The sequence below is a fragment of the Homo sapiens genome, chromosome 1 (genome assembly GCF_000001405.40).
Source record: "Homo sapiens chromosome 1, GRCh38.p14 Primary Assembly".
Taxonomy (NCBI): Eukaryota; Metazoa; Chordata; class Mammalia; order Primates; family Hominidae; genus Homo; species Homo sapiens.
Genome location: NC_000001.11, coordinates 153,349,872 through 153,367,785, shown reverse-complemented (window position 1 = coordinate 153,367,785; position 17,914 = coordinate 153,349,872). Strand labels below are relative to the sequence as shown.

The 17,914-nt window shown below is 49.4% G+C and overlaps 1 protein-coding gene across 1 annotated transcript, besides 2 other annotated features; it reads right to left on the bottom strand.

The window, feature by feature from the left end:
* Positions 1–6,762: 6,762 nt before the first annotated feature.
* Positions 6,763–9,932, bottom strand: S100A9 (S100 calcium binding protein A9). The gene is made up of 3 exons (NM_002965.4): positions 9,905–9,932; positions 9,353–9,517; positions 6,763–7,142 (listed from the first exon to the last, which is right to left on the bottom strand). Exons 2-3 carry the CDS (start codon positions 9,500–9,502, stop codon positions 6,948–6,950), a joined length of 345 nt encoding a protein of 114 aa, NP_002956.1. The 5' UTR covers positions 9,503–9,517; positions 9,905–9,932; the 3' UTR covers positions 6,763–6,947.
* Positions 13,986–14,035: a silencer, noted in NCBI's record as "silent region_1340". NCBI's record gives its function as "represses an Ori minimal core promoter by ATAC-STARR-seq in GM12878 lymphoblastoid cells {active_cell/tissue: GM12878}" and the evidence as "EXISTENCE:reporter gene assay evidence [ECO:0000049][PMID:35858748]".
* Positions 15,061–15,110: a silencer, noted in NCBI's record as "silent region_1339". NCBI's record gives its function as "represses an Ori minimal core promoter by ATAC-STARR-seq in GM12878 lymphoblastoid cells {active_cell/tissue: GM12878}" and the evidence as "EXISTENCE:reporter gene assay evidence [ECO:0000049][PMID:35858748]".

Genomic DNA, 17,914 nt, shown 5'->3' with positions numbered 1-17,914 from the left:
TCACCTGTTCATATCTTCCTCATGTATTTCCATCAAGAGTAGACTTTAGGCCCCTTCCAATTTGGGGCTGACCTCCCTCTTCTGCTCACTGGCTGCTGCTGGAATGATGAGCCTGACAAAGCTGTCTGGGCAAAGGCATTACTGAGTGATAAAGGACACCAATAACACTCTTTTGGGTGCTATATGTGCAATACTTTGCCCTCAGGAGGATATTTCAGGCAGGCTTCCAGTACACCACAAGCCAAGCCATGCCAGCCTGTGCATCAGGCTCTTGGAGCTCAGGAGAAGGATCTGGGCTCAACAAAATGACTATCAGAAGCCCCTGATGTGAGAATGGCTAGGTCTCATCATTTTGACTTGGCCAACACAAGAAGCCTTTCAAGTTTTAAGATAAAGCAAACTAAAAATCTGGAGGGCAAGAGCCCTTACTTCCTATGTTTCTCTGATTTCTTTTATTGCCTAACACAGCACTGGGCACATGGAAGTGCAATTCTTGCCCTCTGAAAACTCAGCTTGGGCATTAGTCCAAGCAAGCTTTCCTTCTCTCTCCTTCCCTCTACCCCTGCCCCCCGGCTCCCCTCTACCCCCTCCCCCACACCACAGCCAATAAGACGGCAAAAAGTGCCTTCTGTACTCTCTGGGCATCTTGTGCTTATCATCTGCCTTTGCTTGTCTTTTGCCCACAACATTGTATTATAGAGAAAATATCTGGTAATTGTGCCCCCACTGGACTGAGGGCTCTGTGAAGGCAGGGAATCTAGCACACTATTTGACATAAGACCAGGCTCATCAGCCTCCTAACTGGTCCTCATGCTTCTACTCTGGGGTTCTCCAGGCTACCCTCCACACAGCTGCCGAATATTCTCCTCCAGATACATCATATCACATCACCTGCCTGATTAAAACCCTCCAAAGGCTCTCCAATGTGTTTGGGGTGAAATCTTCGTTGAGATGGCTTCTTGTCATCCAGGCCTCATTTCCAGTGTTGCTTCCTTGCCTGGCTGCCGGCCCACAAAGCAGTCCTGTTAGCATGTCCCCTTTATTTTCTTTGTGCAACTCATCACCATCTAAAATGATCTGGGCTATCTATTTCTTGACTTGCCTCTTGTCTGACTCTCCCCTAGACGCAGTTTTGTTGACCCAGCACCTATAACAGTGCTCTGCATTTAGTTCTCACTCAATGAGTATTTGCAGACTGAATAGCTGATGAATGTTGGCTTCTTTGCATGGAGCTGTTTCCTACCAGAGGGAATGAACACCTGGAGTAGAATGCGAGGGCGATGCTTGAGGCAGTGCTGGGAGAGTGGGAGGGCCTGGCAGCAAATGAGCCACACCACAGCGGGTTTGGAGGCCTTGCCCCCGGGGGTGGGCTCCTCTCCCTGGACCCTGGTGATATTTGAAGGCAGCTGTCATGGCTCCCTTGCTTACCTTTTCCAGACTTGATTCCCCAAGACCTTCAACAATTTTCCCTTGTGATTGTCTCCTTTCATTATGAGGAGTAGACTCGAAACTGGGACATCTTGTGTTTTGAGGGAGCCATTTCTGGTTAGATATGACCCGTAGTTACTTCACAAAGGTTAGATATGACCCCTAGTTGCTTCCCTGAAAGCACTCAGCCACATAGAACTGCATTTTACCACAGAGGACAGGAGGGCAGAAGGCAGTAAGTGAGAAAAAGCTCAGGGAGAGGATGTAGAAAAGGTAAAGAGAGAAAGAGAGGGGGCAAATCAAGAGGGAAAAGGTTGGGGGAGAGGCAGGGGAGAGGAGGGAGGATCAGACTCCAAGTCAAGGCGGGGGATGCTGAAGGTGCGGGCTGCATGCTGGAATCCTGCTGCCCCTGCCGCCCCTGCTGGTGGCCACCCTCCTCTTCCTCTTCACCTCGGGTCTTGGCAACAAACCCCTTCCTCACTGTACAGTCTGCATGCAGCAATTTTGGGTACGTGGGCAAGAGTGGGAGAACTCATGCAGAAAAGGAAAGCCTAGATGTAGTTGTTTTGAGCCAGCACCAATAGCGGTGCTCTGTGTTTAGTTGGGACTCTGCATTCCGTGGGACACTCAGGATGGAGGCCAGCTGGCTGTCGCTCAGGGGCTCCCTTTCCCTGTCTCCTGTGTCTGGGAGTGGATCTCTGAAGACAGGGGTGATCTAATCATCCAGGGACTGATTGTCGTCTTAGGATAGAGAAACTGTTTCAGGTCAGAGCCCCAAGGGGCAATAGGACTTGAGAAACCAGTTGTTTCAGTCCTGCTGTCACTTTGGTAATTGGAGTGTCAAAATCCATGACACGGGGCTTTCTAAAATATATGTTTTAAGCAACTGCCGGAAGAGGGGGCAGTGCATTGGGGTTGGATTATGGAGCTTACTTCAGGGCAGGGCTGCATCAGGGTTGTGTAAGGTTGGCTCACCGGGCTGGTGAAAGCTGAGATCTTCCTTCCTGGAAAGGTCTTGGCAAACAGCATGAAATGATCTTATTTATCATGTTGCAGTCACACCTCTCCTAATTGAGGTGAAGCTTGGGGTAGTTTGAGGCTCTAGCTTTACTTTTTCTGAGAAGCACCGCTTGGACTCTTAAGTGCTCACCTGGGCTCTTGCAACAGACTCCCCACAGGCCATGTGCCTGGGGTCTCATTCCCACCCCAAACCCATCCCATAAAACACAGATAGAGAAACTTCTATGAAATGCAAATGTGATTATATCATTGCCCTCCCTGAAGCCTTCGGGGCTCTGCCCCTGTTCTGCTGAATGGAGTGTGAGTTCCTTGGCCTGGTACCTATCCTGTTCTCATCTGTCTCTCTTACCTCTCCCTGCCACGCCCCCAGTGCTCCTCATTCGCCCTCAAACCCCACGCCTGCCCATTTCCAGGCCTTTGCATACATGGTCTCCTGAAGCACCTTCATGTTTATCCCGGGATGTCTCCAGGTACCAGCCTTGATGTCACACTGATACTTACCCCTCCATGGAGATGGCCCCAGTGAAGGGCATCATTCCCACCTCAAAGTCCCACCGAGCTACATCCCACCGAAATCTTTTAGCTGGACCTCCCTGGCCTCTCATTTTCCACATCAGATTAATTTGAGGAGCTGTCTTGTCTCCCTGCAGGCCCGAGAACTCTTTGACAACATGGACAAGCTTTATTTATCATGAAGGCCCCTCAGCATTATACTGTGCCTGACACATAGTAAGTCTGCAGTTAATGTCTGTTGAGTGAATGAAGGGACATACAAGTGAGTGGACAAGTGAATTCATTTCTCCCCCAAGTTCTGGAGCCATCCCACCACCACCCAGGCCCCAGACCACATTCAGAGCACTGTGAAGTGTCTGGGAAGAGTTTAGCAGCTTAGACTACTTCTGATCCTTCCTCATTCCTCCCAGGAAGGCATCTAGCAGTTCAGGTTCCACTGCTAACACCAGCCTGGAGGGCAACTCATTGTTGCAGGAATTGTTGGATAGTCATCTGAAGACAGGTTGTCTCTGATTCTTTAGTCACCATGGTGCTGGGAAAGTCCCCAAAGGTCATGTTTCCCCAAAGGACTCATTAATCACAGAGATAGCTACTGATTTCCACTTGGAGTGGGAATCTTAACCTTGACATGGACATGGACATGCTTGCTCTCTCTATCTGAGAAAAGAAGCCCACTCTGCTCTACTCAGCAGAATGAGGTTTTTTTTTTTTTTTTTTTTTTTGAAATGAAAGAGGCTAATGGGAATGAAGAGGTTAAGTCACCTTGATGAGTTCTGTTCAACTACGTTTAAAGAAAATTCCGCAGGGTGCAAGTGGCTTGTTGTCAGACCTTCCCCCAGGGTCTGAAACAATTGCCTACATGCAGACTGAGTTACTAGAGACAAGGTAAATGGAAGAATCCTTGTTACCTGAGGAGGTCTCTGGGTCATCCTGCCACTCAGCTGCTCTGCTCTCTGCCAGCCCCAGGTCTCCAGACAGCTGGCACCCCCAACCCCAGTTCCTGAGAGCCACTCCTACCTCACACCCACATTCGAGCAAAGCACCCATTTCTGCTCTAGAACCATCCTATCTTCACTTTGTGGATGAACAAGTGGATGGTCCATGCTGGGATCTTGAATGTGGGGGAAAATCAGCTATAGTCCCTGCTTTCAGGGGTTCATAGTCTTGGCAAATGAGTATTTGCCATTCAGTATTTGAAGTGCAATGGTGGAATTGTCAGAGTTCTGTGGGCCTGGAGGAGGAAGTCCCTATCTTCTTGAGAAGGGTGGATGGTGAGGAAGCAGTAACACTTGTTCCAAGGCTTGATGGATCCTAAGGGACTTACAAGAGACACCAGGATGGAGCACAGCATTTTTGGTGCAAAGGTGAAGAGGCTGGAGAAAGCCTGGATGTAATTTAGGGAAGGCGTTTTGAAGAAGTGGAGGAATAAACATGTGGATGGGAGGATGGATGATAAGGGGTTAGATTTGTTCTGTGTCCTCAAAGGGGAGGAAAAGTAGGACTAATGCTGGGTGGGCATGAGGAGATGGATTTCAGCTCAGTATAATGAGGGACATTCCAAGTGTCACTCCCAAAGGGGGAAACTCTCCTTTCCTGGAGGAATTCAGGCAGGGTTGGTTCAGTCACTTGGCAGGGATGTTGGCAAGAATCACTCTAGAGTGTGGGTGGGGCAGATTGGATTAAGTCCATAGTTTTCACACTTTTTTCAAGACAAATCTCTTCCTTCAAATCAAATTGGTCTGATTGAACAGGGGGTGGAGGGGCCCTCCGATTCCATCAACTTGCTGCTCCTTACCTTCAGGTTTGAGATTCTGTAATGCTAATGCAGAAGCCTTCCATTTGCAGGTTTTGATCTCCTCTTGCTTTTTTTTCTCCACATCATCCCTTGAGAAGAGAGCATAGAACACGTGAGAAACCTAGGCCATTATACAGGCAATATTTGCTGAGAACCTTCTATGTAGCAGCCACTACTCTAGGTGCTGAGAATAAATCAGAAAAAAAAAACAGATGGACTTTGCTCTCTTGGAGTTATCAGTCTGGAGGGGTAGGCAGAGTCATAAACATATTTAGGCACATTGTGATAAGTAGTGGTGGGCAGAGGGCCTAGGGGGAGCACTTACCACCCTACTGGAAGCATCTGGTCTAAGGCCCTCCAATCCCCAGGATGCTTCTCTCTCCTCATTACCAAGCTGTGTTCAGAAGGGAGTGAAGACAGTGACTCCTCCCTGGATGTGAGCATGGGAGCAGAAGGGCTGTCAGAAAATGAGTGTCCCCAGCTGTCAGGTCTCCAAGTCAGGCACAGAAGGGACTGAGGAGGGCTTCTAGACTCTGCTGCCTAAGCTCTCAGCCTGAGACAGTTCCTGGAAACATCCTCATACCCTCGAGTGGGAGCCCTTAAAACCCTGCACCCAGAGCGGAGCCCCCAGGCCCTTAAAGCAGGAGTCTGCAACAGGCAGGTTGGGGGCACAACCATAGCCAGGCTGTGAGGGGAGGGCTGAAATCCAACACTGGCAGCTCTATATCTTCCTGCTCTGCACTGGGGAAGGGGCTGGGGAGGTGCAGCCAGTGGGGCAGATATGATTCAAGCTACTTTTCGTACTGCATTATTTTGAGCAACTCTGTCATTTGTGTGACTTTGGACTAGTCTCTTCTCCATATTACACCTCGGTTTCTTCACTTATGAAAAGGGAGAGTAGGTGACTGCTAGTCTTCCCAGCTTCCCCAGATCCTAATTCTGTGAGTCTTCTTTCTGCTGAAAGGACAGGGGTCAGAGGACCTTGATCTGGACTCTGGTTTTTGGAAGGCCAAACCCCACTGGTTATAACCTAGGAAAGGGACTTTATAGCCAAAGGGCAGGAAGATGGCAGAGGAGTCCCTGAACTGAGCACTTGGATCTGGGGCAGCTTGAAGGGGGAGCTGCAGCAGTAGCCCTGAGGCAGCTAGGGCCAGGCCTGGTAGTAGGCTTTGCAGAGAGAAGCAGATACTTGTGCTGGGCCCAGCTCTCAGCTACCCACCAGAAAGGACAGCTGGCCCTCAAAGCTTAAAATCAGAATCTTCAGACCCCCAGGCTCTCTGGACCCAGAGCACAGACTCCTCCTGGTAGTCACGGAGTCTTTTAGCTGCAGAGCCCGGACTGGAGCTCATTTCTTCACTCTGCCATTCTGTTGAGACCAGGGTGGGCATAGGGCTAAGCTCTCAGACTCCCACTTGTGTGAGCACTCCCGTTGATTAGGGTGGCAGGTCTGTTAAGAGAGATCCAATTGCTCTCTTGGATCCAGAAAAAGTGTGAGAGTAAACACACCGGATCTGTCCTTGTTTCCACTGCCTGGGTGCCAGTATTCCTCCCCAGACATGGCACTATCTAGGTCCATTTCTGGAAGACTTTCAGAGGAATAGAATTCTGTTAGGAGAGAGAGAGGGCTGTGTAGACAGTGATGGGTGAAGACAGGCTTGGGGCTGGTTGGTGAGGTAGCAGGCATATCAAGGGGTAGAGATATGCCTTTTTGCTTTCTACAGTGTACAGTGACAAGGGCCATTTGTCAGGCTGGACAGGCTGGACAGGGTGTCTGAGATGGGGCAGGGAGCCTGGGATCTGAACAGTGGGGCCTGAAGTCAGAGGTGAGGACATGGTCAGGGAGGTGAGCCCAAGGGGCCCAGCACAGACCCATGTTTTGCTGCTTCTCATTTTGTTAATACTGAATGAGGGGGCTGAGTCACAGATAAGGACAGGGCTGTCTAATGCCCAGAGCCCTGGGAAGGCAGGGTTGGAGAAGAGGTGGAAGAAGCACACAGAGCACTGACTTGGAGGAAGAGACTTTATTTGGCCCCAGCCCCTAGCCCCACAGCCAAGACAGTTTGACATAACAGGCCCCGGGGCCCTGGTTGGGTAGAGGCAGGGTGGCCTGGCCTCCTGATTAGTGGCTGTGGCCGTGGCCACCATGACTGTGGCCGTGGCCGTGGCCACTGTGATCTTGGCCACTGTGGTCTTAGGGGGTGCCCTCCCCGAGGCCTGGCTTATGGTGGTGGCCAGGGCCCTCGTCACCCTCGTGCATCTTCTCGTGGGAGGCCCAGGTTAGCCTCGCCATCAGCATGATGAACTCCTCGAAGCTCAGCTGCTTGTCTGCATTTGTGTCCAGGTCCTCCATGATGTGTTCTATGACCTTTTCATTCTTATTCTCCTTCTGCGGGTGGGGAGAGAAGGCTGTGAGAGCTGGGTGTGGCCAGAGGTGGGGACTGGGAGCACAGTAAATGACCAGCTGGCAAATGTACAAGGGAAGCCTCACCCTGGGGCTGGATTTAAAAATTAAAAATGACCATAGGCTGAGTGCGCACAATGGAGCAGACACTGAGCACATACCAAACGCTCTCCAGTTTATTCCCTCCATGACCCTGTGACTTGGGTGCTGATTCTCTATTTATAGAAGAGGAAGCTGAGTTCCAGGGTCTTGCCCTGGTCATGGCATGAGTAAGCCTGGAAATGTCACCTCATTTGGTCCTTATAACAACTTTAACAGCTAGGAATGGTATCTTCCTGGAGGAAGACTTGAAACCAGTCCTAGAGAGGGTCATTAGTTTTCACAGCTTGACTATTGAGGGCATGCAAATTCAGATCTGACTTAGAGGCCAGTTCCACTCTGCTACCCCTCTGCACTTCACTCCTTCCCCTGCCCTCCCTTCCCTTCCCTCTGGAGGTTACCAATTAGTGAAACTTATTTCAACCAATACAACGGGGAAACACCTAGAAAAACTAGGTGTGGGCAGGGGAGATGGAGGGTCAGAGAGCAGAGTATGTGCTCCGCTGACCTCAAGGGTGTGATAAAGTATAAAAGGGGAGATGGTCGGACAGGGTGGCTCATGCTTGTAATCCCAGCACTTTGGGAGGCCGAGGCAGGCAGATCACCTAAGGTCAAGAGTTCGAGACCAGCCTGACCAACATGGAGAAACCTTGTCTCTACAAAAAATAACAAAATTAGCCAGGCATGGTGGTGCATGCCTGTAATCCCAGCTATTCTGGAGGCTGAAGCAGGAGAATCGCTTGAACCCAGGAGGTGGAGGTTGTGGTGAGCCGAGATTGTGCCGTTGCACTCCAGCCTGGGCAATAAGAGCGAAACTCTGTCTCAAAAAAAAAAAAAAAAAAAAAAAAAGGAGAGACATCAGGGGAGGTGGAAGACCCAGACCCAGGCGGGGTCCAAGAGAGCACTGGTTGGTTCCAGCTCTGCCACCCTCTGGCTGAGTCACCTCGCTAAGTCCCCTCCCAGAACCTGTGGGGTACCCAGCCAATGCGAGCACTCTCCTGTGCAGCCCATCCATGAGGCTCTGCTTCCTTTCCCACAGCATCGCTTTGCTTCTGGTGGGGGATGTCAGGTGGGGGGTGAAGCGGGCATAGGGGGTCACATGGAGGATAGTTTTGCCATGCGGCCTCTCTGCTGGGCCCTTTCTTGCCTACCCCACCCAGCATCCTGCCTGCCTGAGGCCTCCACCTATGGAGAGCTGTCAGGGCCCCTAACTCTGAAGGCTGCAATTCTCCACCTTACCAAGGCGGAGGGAGGGGCACTGGGAGGGCTGGGGACCTACCCCAGGATGTCTGGCTCCGGGACTGGAACTGAGACTGAGACCCATGTGTTCCACCCTTCTTAATGCAGGCCTCTGTTTCCCGACTTTCCCCAAATTTGAAAAGAAAACAAAAAGGCTGTTGGAAGTGCTCAGCCTTTTTCTTAGAACTGCCTAATCATTTTTGGAGCGGGGGAAAAACCTCCCAGTTCCCTGAGTGCTGTGCAGGTGCTCTCCATGTGCTCTTTATGCATTCATTTTCCACCGCAGACCCTTAGGATTAGAAAAGCCCCCAAGTCTTCCACCCCAAGTTCCCGCCTGAGGCTTAGGGTCTCCTCAGCTTTGTGCCAAGTGTCATCCTCAGGGGCTTCCCTCCCCAACATTCGGGGCTCAGCTCAAATGTTACCTCCTCAAAGAGGCCCTTCTCATGTACCCTAACTGGTCACCTCCACCCCACCCAGCCCCATTGCCCACAGCGCACTCTATCTCATTTTCTTCCAGGCACTTATTGGCATTTGGCTTTATCTGTGCTCTTTATTGGCCAACAACTTTACTGTGTGTCTCCCTCCACTGGAATAGTGGGCTCCCCATTTACCACTACATCCCTCTGCCCAGAACAGGGCCCGACAAATAGCAGGTGTTCAATTGAGCAATTTCTTGACCCTGTCGTCCTGTGTAACTGTGAGCACCTGCCCTGTATAACAGGACACTCGCTGCGTCTTGGGGCTGGGCTCCAGGAGCTCAAATCTTCCCCTTGATTGCTGTAGCCCATACTCCCATCCTCCCTTGTCAACCCAAACTGCGGTGAGGCTGGGTCAGACCTGCCAGAGTCCAGCCCTACCTTGAGAAAATTTTGCAGATCTTTTCGCACCAGCTCTTTGAATTCCCCCTGGTTCAGGGTGTCTGGGTGCCCCAGCTTCACAGAGTATTGGTGGAAGGTGTTGATGATGGTCTCTATGTTGCGTTCCAGCTGCGACATTTTGCAAGTCATCGTCTTGCACTCTGTCTGTGTAATGGAAAACCAAGAGTTGGGACACTTAGAAGAAAATGCTGTCAAGCTTCTTTGACACTTCCTACTAAGCACTCACAGAAATAGTGGGGGAAGTGCAAAATAAAAAGAAAGCACAGGCTGCAACTTAACTGGGAGATGGCCTGTCACACACATGTACAAAATGATTTTTTAGAATATCTACAGAGTGCCAAAAAGCAAAGCATTTGAGGGCAGGAGGCCCCAGGGGAACATGACCTAAGAAAATGTGAAAGAAGCTTTAAAGTAGGCAGGGCCAACCAAGGAGGGCTTCTAGGAGGAGGATTTGGAAGGAAGTTGGGTCAGGGAAGGAAAGAAGGAATCGGCAGGCAGGCTTCTGCCTGGGGAAGCTGGCAGCTCACTTACCAAAGCCGAGGAGCCACACAGAGTGTTTGCCAGAGCTGTGCAGGCTCGGCATTTATAGGCAGCTCCTGACTGGGGCACTTGGCCCTTTGGCCCTGTCTCCGGAAGATTGCTTCACAGGTGAGCAGTGTGGTAATGCTGCCAGGAAGGGGGCTGGGGCGGGGCAGGAAATGTTCACAGAGCGCCTTCTGCTTTTTTGTGAAATTCCCAGCCCTGGCCTGAAACTGGTTTGGGAGGAAGCTGGTTGTTTAGTTCATTTCCCTTCTATCCTAAGGCCCTACTCTCCCCGAGCGAGCCTGCTGCTCCTCTGGCACCACTCAGCCCCCCATCCCCTTTGAGGTTGAAGCAGGCTGAGGACCTATGGGGGCCTGACCCTCTCGGCTGCCCCCCATGGGCAGTCTGCCCCTTCCTTTTAGTCCAACAAGGATGGTCTGAGCTCTCACCCATGCTTGCCTGGCTCTGTGATACTTAGGATGGCGAGGGGTTGGTGTTCTTAGATTCATAGGGTGAGATTTGGGGTTAGAAGGGTTCTCAGAGGTGGGCAACCCTCTTGCATTGTAGATGAAGAAACTGACACCCGGAGATGGACCTGAGCAAGGTCACATAGCTGGTTGCTGACTTGGCAGGAAGGGGACCCAGCTATTCTGGTTCCTGGTTAAGGGCAATTCTGATGATACCTTCCTCTTGCAGTCTGAGTGAGAGAGCCTCAGGGCGAATATGTTTCTAGCATCTCTCAGCATCATTTTTCTAAATCCTGCTCCCAGCAAGGGTTCCAGGAACTTATAACTTGGGAGACAACTGTTTTTACTTAGCCTCCTGGTGGGCAAGATGTGTCCTTCTCCTGCTACGAACCTCCAGTTGCTCCCCATTGCCTATGGAGAAAGCTTGGCTTAGCCCTGCGCACAAAGCCCTCTTGGAATGGCCCTGCCTGTCCGGCCAGCTTCCCTTTCACTACCTCCCTGCCCACTGTGGGAACACAGGGCCCACCTCCCACCTTGCCACCCCAGGAGTGCCCTTCCCCTACTCCACAGTGATATCCTGCCCGCCCCCACGGCTCAGTTCTAATGCACTCTCTTCCAAGGAGACTGCTCTGTGCTTCCCATTTGGAAACAGTTTCTGTCTTCCTGACTATGATTCTCATACCACTTCTGGCTCTCAACACTTGCTTTCCTGGAGTAAAATTATATACATATTTTGCCTCTGTCCAACAATTGGCTGTAGATCCTCAAAGGTAGGTTCTCATTCATGTTCTCCTTCTCCTATGCACACAGCCCGGGGCTTGGCAAGAGAGACACCCTCGGATTTGCTGATTGATCCTTGCTGAAGTCCTTGCTGGCATCCTTTCCCGTCACCCCTGGAAGCCAGTATGGATGATCCACCCTGGGACTCCCTCTTGCTTGCTGCCCCCTCTCTCTATCAGGAAAGATGGTTCTCTTCTTCTACCTGCACTGGTTATTTTGTTCTGTCTCCATGAAGCCTTCCTTTATTGCCCCAGCCCCTCCTGACTGCTTTGTCCTCTGAAAGCCTGAGGCAATCTCTGTGTGTGCTAAGCATTGGCCCTAAGCATGGCCTGCCTCACACTGCTGAGATGCACCTGGAGTAGTGGTTAAGACTTCAGACTGTCTGTGTGACCTTAGGCAGTTTACTTAACTTCTCTGTGCCTTACTTTTCTTATCAATAAAATAGGATAATATCAGGACTTACCTTGAGGATTGCGACAATACATGGAAAGTTGGGAAGAGCTCAGTAAATAAAAGGTATTATTACTAATAATCTTTTCATTCATTTATGCAACAAATATTTGTTGAGCACCTACTGAGTGCCAGATATGAATGCTAGATGCTGGGAGAACTTGATGAGTGAGTCGCAATACAAAGGGGAGACATAATCTTATATCCTGTCTTCCAAATTACGTTTTAAACTCTTGGTAGCTAAGGACAGGGCTTGGCACAGTGCTAAGCACACAGCAAGCATCTAATAAATAAATGAGTGCTTGAATACATGAGTCGCCTACGAATGAATGAACGGTGCAGACACAGCTCAGGAATACATGAGGTAGATTTCCTATCCAAGTCCACCTTCCATTGTTTAAGCTAATAGAGGAAACCCAGCCAGCAGCCAGCAGCCAGCAGCCAGCAGCCAACCCTGTGTGCCAGTGCAGCCTGTTCTGCAGTCCCTGCACAGCCCCAGGCGCCCTTCCTGTGTGCTCCCATGGCGCCCTCTGCTGCCTCTGACAAAGCACTTCTCACTCAGGACCAAGGATCTCCAACTCACCCTTGCGGGAACCAGACCCAAGGTGAAGCTGGTGGGGCATGAGAACATCAACGGCAGCAGTAGGGCAACTTGTGGCCACTGATATGGGGCCTCAGGGTTGGGGACACTGGACAGTGGTGGCAACTGTGGGGAATGAGAACGTTCCTACCTTGAAGGGACAGCCAGTGTCAGGCCAGGGCTGCCACGTGGGAAAGTAGACCAGATGTTCTTGGACCTCCTGAGGGCCCAGGACATCTGAAGCTTTATATGAAAATTCCTGTTTAATACAATTTGTCCATTAATTTAAAATAAAAACAAAAAAAGCATGACAATGAAGCAGGGTGTGTGTGACTCAAACCCTGAGTGATGGTGTGCGGCAGGCATCTCTGCTTTGTCATGGAGCTCTCAACTTTCAGGTGGACTTTCTGATTCCTCCACACCACTGTGGCTCCTCTAGGCAGGGATGCTGCCTGCTACCCTCCAAAGTCTTAGCACCAGGCAAGGGCTGGCTCAGAGGCACTGGATGAACGCTTGTTGATTGAATAAATTCAGGAGTGCATGAATCAATGATGAAATGAGTGAATGTGACATAAACACTGGCCTGTCACCCTCTGTTCTGTGACTTTCTGCAGAGCCACTGACTGTGGTCATTTAGTGCTGATTCAGAATGAAAGTAAAATAGGGAGTTGGGGGAGAGAAGGCTCAGCAGTGGGTGGGAATGAGCAGCTGGTCAGGGTTTCAAAACAGACGGGAATCTGCACTTGGGGGATCTGATGCTGACAGTGGGCCCCCATCTTAGAAGGCCACTGCAGGCCCCCAGGTTCCAGGCTAGCCCAGGCGCAGGTGAGGCCAGGGCTGAGCCATTCTGGTTCTGACCGGAGCAGACAATTCCTGGCATGATCAGTAGGTGGCCGACACCCACCTGCCTCCTCACTGCCAGCCGAGGCCAGAGGTTGGACTGAGGGATGGTGGGATGGGGGTCTTCCCCTCTGGGTACTGATTTTCCAGGGAAAGTCGGAGCCTTCTGCTAGGGCATGAAGTGGGTGGGCCAATTTTCCTGGCTCTGTACAATGACTCGAGGTTTTCACTGGGAGAAAAGGGTGTGGCTTTTTGGGTTAAAAAACAAATAAGTGGCCGGGCACGGTGGCTCACGCCTGTAATCCCAGCACTTTGGGAGCACGAGGCGGGTGGATCACAAGGTCAGGAGTTCGAGACTAGCATGGCCAACATGGTGAAACCTCCATCTTTACTAAAGATACAAAAAATTAGCCGGGTGTGGTGGTGCGCACCTGTAATCCCAGCTACTCAGGAGGCTGAGGTAGGAGAACCGCTTGAACCTGGGAGGCAGAGGTTGCAGTGAGCCAAGATCGCGCCATTGCACTCTGGCCTGGGTGGCAGGGTGAGACTCCATTTCAAACAAACAAACAACCAAGCAAGTAAACAAACAAGCAGGCAGAGGTTCCTGCAGCTACCATCAAATCACTGTGCTCTTTCCCAGATGCCTGGGACCCACTGCGGGTCTGTCTTTCCCTTCTCTGCAGCTCCCACTGTGGTCTTTCAGGGAGCTTTACCCCTCCTGTGTTGTAATGGGGGTGTTACAGCAGGCACACAGTGGGACCCGGACTGAGGGACTGAGCTGGTTTTAGTCCTTAGCTTTCTCAGACTTGCTGGTGGTCTTTAGAAGTGATTTCCATGTTCGGGCCTCCATTTTCTTATCCATTACATGAGGAGATTGGGACAGCTGACCCTTAGGTCATTTCTAGCACAGATTCCAAGTTTTGATGGACTCTTGGTGGGCTTCATGACTACTACTAGCCTCATGGCCCCTGGACACTGTCTCCTGGCTTACTTGCTCCACCTGCAGGTGAAGTCAGGTCCCTCTCCTCACAGGGACTCTGATGCCTGAGGCCCAGCCCCACTCAGGCTGCGCACAGCCTGCTGCCTATTCCTCCACTCCCTGTCTTCCTCCTTGCTGGGAGTCCCAAGTGCTCTTCCTTGGAGATCTCTGGGTACGGGTCTCCTAACCACAAGCGCCCTAACATCCCCCATTTCCCCAGTGCTCATTCTAGACTCTAGTGCATTAGGATGACTTACAGAAGCTATCCACGGGTAGCTTCAGACCATTGTTCTACCACGTTTGGGCTCAGTCCACATCAAGCTTTGACCACCCCTGGCATCCTTGTGGCCTCCCTTGACTGGCCATCCTGAGGTCTCTGAGGCCCTCTGCTGAGAGCAGCCGCACTCCCTGCCCCCATGCTGGGCTGCTCCAGCATCCACAGTGAGGACCCTCCAATGATCTGGCTTCTTAGACATTCAACCTAAGCTTCCCCAAGTCTGGACCTCTCCCCCTGTCTCCACCTTGGCTGCCTCTGCTCATCATCCTCCTAATTTCTCAGACATGCCACCTTCAAAATTGAGAAAGCTGGCATTCCCTTTTGTTGCCTGGCTTCTGTTGCTCCAACCCTTTCTCCTCCCCGATCTCTTGGGAACCTGGCTTTTGCGCTCACTATGTCCCTAGGTTCCAGATCTCTGCAGAAATTTTTGGCGAGTATCTCAGCATCTGGCTTTTGGCATCCTCTGCTCTCAGGACTCCCTTTGAAGTCCACAGCCCTTTGTAAAGAATAAAGGGTTTTCACACTCAGCAGGCATTATAATCACTGGCGTTTGGATCTGTCTCCCTCATTATATTATTAACTACTTGAGAGCAGTGTTCTCAATGTACTCATCCCTGGATGATAAGCTTTGCATATGAGTGACACCTGACAAATGTTTGCAGAATAAAATGAATGACTGGCTTGGTTTGGCCAGAACTTATGCTTAGGAGATGGCTATGCCCTGTAATTATGAAGGCGTTGGTGGATAAAGCTAGTTAGAAAAAAAAAAGACGTGCCACACAGAAGCATGAAGGTAAGGAAGGAAGTGGAAGGGAGTGATGGATAAAAGAGGTTGCTCAGAGACTCCTAGTGAGTGAAAGGTGACTCCGGAGTTATCAGAGGGCGCATGCTGCCACCTTGTGGCCTATCTGCATCAGGACAGCCTGTGGGATTCCTTTGGCCCCAGGTTTTTAATCTTTTTGCTCTCTGGACCCTTTTATATGTATTCATAGAAGTTATTGAGTATCCCAAAGAGCTTTTGTGGATTAGATGTATCAGTATTTACTACATTAAAAGTTTAAAAAATTTAAAATGATTTATTAACTCACTTAAAGTACCATTAATAAACACATTACGTATTACCACGTTTTTAAACAATTAAAAATAATTATATATATATGTCAAAAGCTAGTGAGAAGAGTGTTTTTTTTTCACATTTTTGCAGACCTTTTTACTGTATGGCTTCAAAGAAGACAGCTGGTTTATCACATCTACTTCTGCATACAAGGTATTGCTGTATGTTGCTTTGGTTGAAGATTTGAAGAAAATCCAATCTCCCACAGATAAGTAGTTGCAAAGGGGATGAATACATTAATAGCCTTTAAATATATAATTGTGGATATTCTTCTCTCATATTACATCAAAACCCAACAAGTGATGGTTTCTCAAAGGTTAGTTGCAACGTAAAGTCTGAAACCATATCAATGAATTATTTGTTCTCTGTTACATTAGAATCAATTGGTCCCTCTTAAAATTTAATGGATCTTTTATCCAAACTTTGTGACTTCATATATTGATCATTTGGAAAATATTGGTTGACTGAGTTATGTACGTCTTCTAAATGCTGACATCATTTATTACTCTCTATATATACATATTTATATATATCACACACACATATAAATAAACCACATTTGGCCGGGCGTGGTGGCTCACGCCTGTAATCCCAGCACTTTGGGAGGCTGAGGCGGGCAGATCATGAGGTCAGGAGATCGAGACCATCCTGGCTAACACTATGAAACACCATCTCTACTAAAAATACAAAAAATTAGCCATGTGTGGTAGCACATGCCTGTAGTCTCAGCTACTTGGGACACTGAGGCAGGAGAATCACTTGAACCCGGGAGGCAGAGGTTGCAGCGAGCAGAGATCATGCCACTGAATTCCAGCCTGGGCGACAGAGATAGATTCCGTCTCAAAAACAAACAAAACAAAACAAAACAAAAAAAGCAAAAAAGCCCCACCACATTTGTTAATATCACCACTGATCCTGTCAGTAGTCTTCAAATATTGGGAAGCTGTCAAACTCATGGTGGCAGACACAAATTTTCCAAAATTCAAATTTTTGACTGAAAGCTCCAATTTTATTATGCTAACAAATTGTAGTTGTTTTCCCGGAAGTGAAAGGCTCACTTTGTTAATTTTCAAGAAAATGTATGCCGCATACCCAAATATGAGTATCCATAGTTTGGCTATCATTTGTTCTATGTTATTTGTTCACGGCGTCCATGAAAAGTGGCTGGTTCAGCTCACAACTGTAGCACACAAATGCTTTTCCTTGAGAGAATCAGGGTTGAGATTTAATAAAATGAGTAATTTTCACTGCTTCATCAAAAACATTCCTAAGTGAGCCTCCTTTTCTTGAAAGAATACATTGTGAAGAATACAATGACTGCTAGTGCAGTCTGACGCCACACATAGGTTCATGTCTCTAACGGTTTTTTCTACCATTGTTTTTGTGTCATCAGTGCAAATATCAGCACAGTGAGGAAAGTGAGGAGCCGGGAGTCTTGGTTTGTGGGCAGTTTCCTGTGGTGGGAAGTTCAGAGAATATTGTTCTGGAATTAGTTTTGATCTCATGGACCCCCCCAAGGGGTCTTGGGGTCCCCCAGTTTCCCCTGGGCCACTTTTTGAGAACCACTGCCTTAGGTACTTGAAGGTATGCATTATTTGAGGCAGGTCGGTGTGCTGGCTTGCTTTTCCTTTCCATTTCTTCTTTTGACACCTTTTAAAAGAGTGTCCTGTTTAAGTCTTTCTTTCTTTCTCTCTTTCTTTCTTTCTTTTTTCTTTCTTTCTTTCTTTCTTTCTTTCTCTCTTTCTTTCTTTCTTTTTTCTTTCTTTCTTTCCTTTCTTTCTTTCTTTCTCTCTCTCTCCCTCTCTCTCTCTCCCTCCCTCCCTCCCTCCCTTCCTTCCTTCTTTATCTGACAAATGCTTATTGAGTTTCTAACATGTGTCAGCATTATGCCAGACACTAAGCTAAACCCTGAGACTACAGAATAAAGTAAATTCCCACTTCTGTGAAATTCACAGCTGGAGGGAGGCTTAAGACAGAGGACAAAAAAATGTAAATATAAATAATGATAGTATTAAAGGCAGGTAAAGAGATAGACTTGGGAACTGCTCTTGAGGAGATTATAATTACAATTCATTCAGGTGCTAGAATGGAGAAGAGAGACTCTGAGCCTCTACCAGTCCCAACTAGTCACGGAGCCCTTTCCAAAGATGCCAGGCTGAAGTGGAGCCTCTGGGCGCAGGTGGGGAGCGAGGCTGGGCACTTGGGAAGGGTCTTGAGATGGTGGGAGGTGGGGCAGAGAGCACTGGGAGCCTGCTCTGGCAGCGTGGAGTGAGATGGGGCTGGGGGCCAGATAATTTAGGACTTAGGAGGTCCTCTCGGGATTCTGAGTTCACAGAATCAGAGAGGGACAACCCACACTGCTCTCTTCCTCCCTCCCGATGCCCTCGTCCCGGACAGCCCTCAGTCTGTTAGTCCTCAAGAATCTGTTGGTCTCTGGATGGGGCAGAGAATCTGTTGGTCCCCTTTGGCAGCCACCACCCAATCTCTTCTTGGGCTTCCCCTCCCCAAGCCGCTCCAAAAAGGGGAACCGAG

Coding starts and splice junctions, on each gene's coding strand:
- S100A9 (NM_002965.4), bottom strand. CDS start 9,502: ATGACTTGCAAAATGTCGCAGCTGGAACGCAACATAGAGACCATCATC. Junction 7,143..9,352: donor ATCTGCAAAATTTTCTCAAG/GTAGGGCTGGAC, acceptor CCCCACCCGCAG/AAGGAGAATAAGAATGAAAA.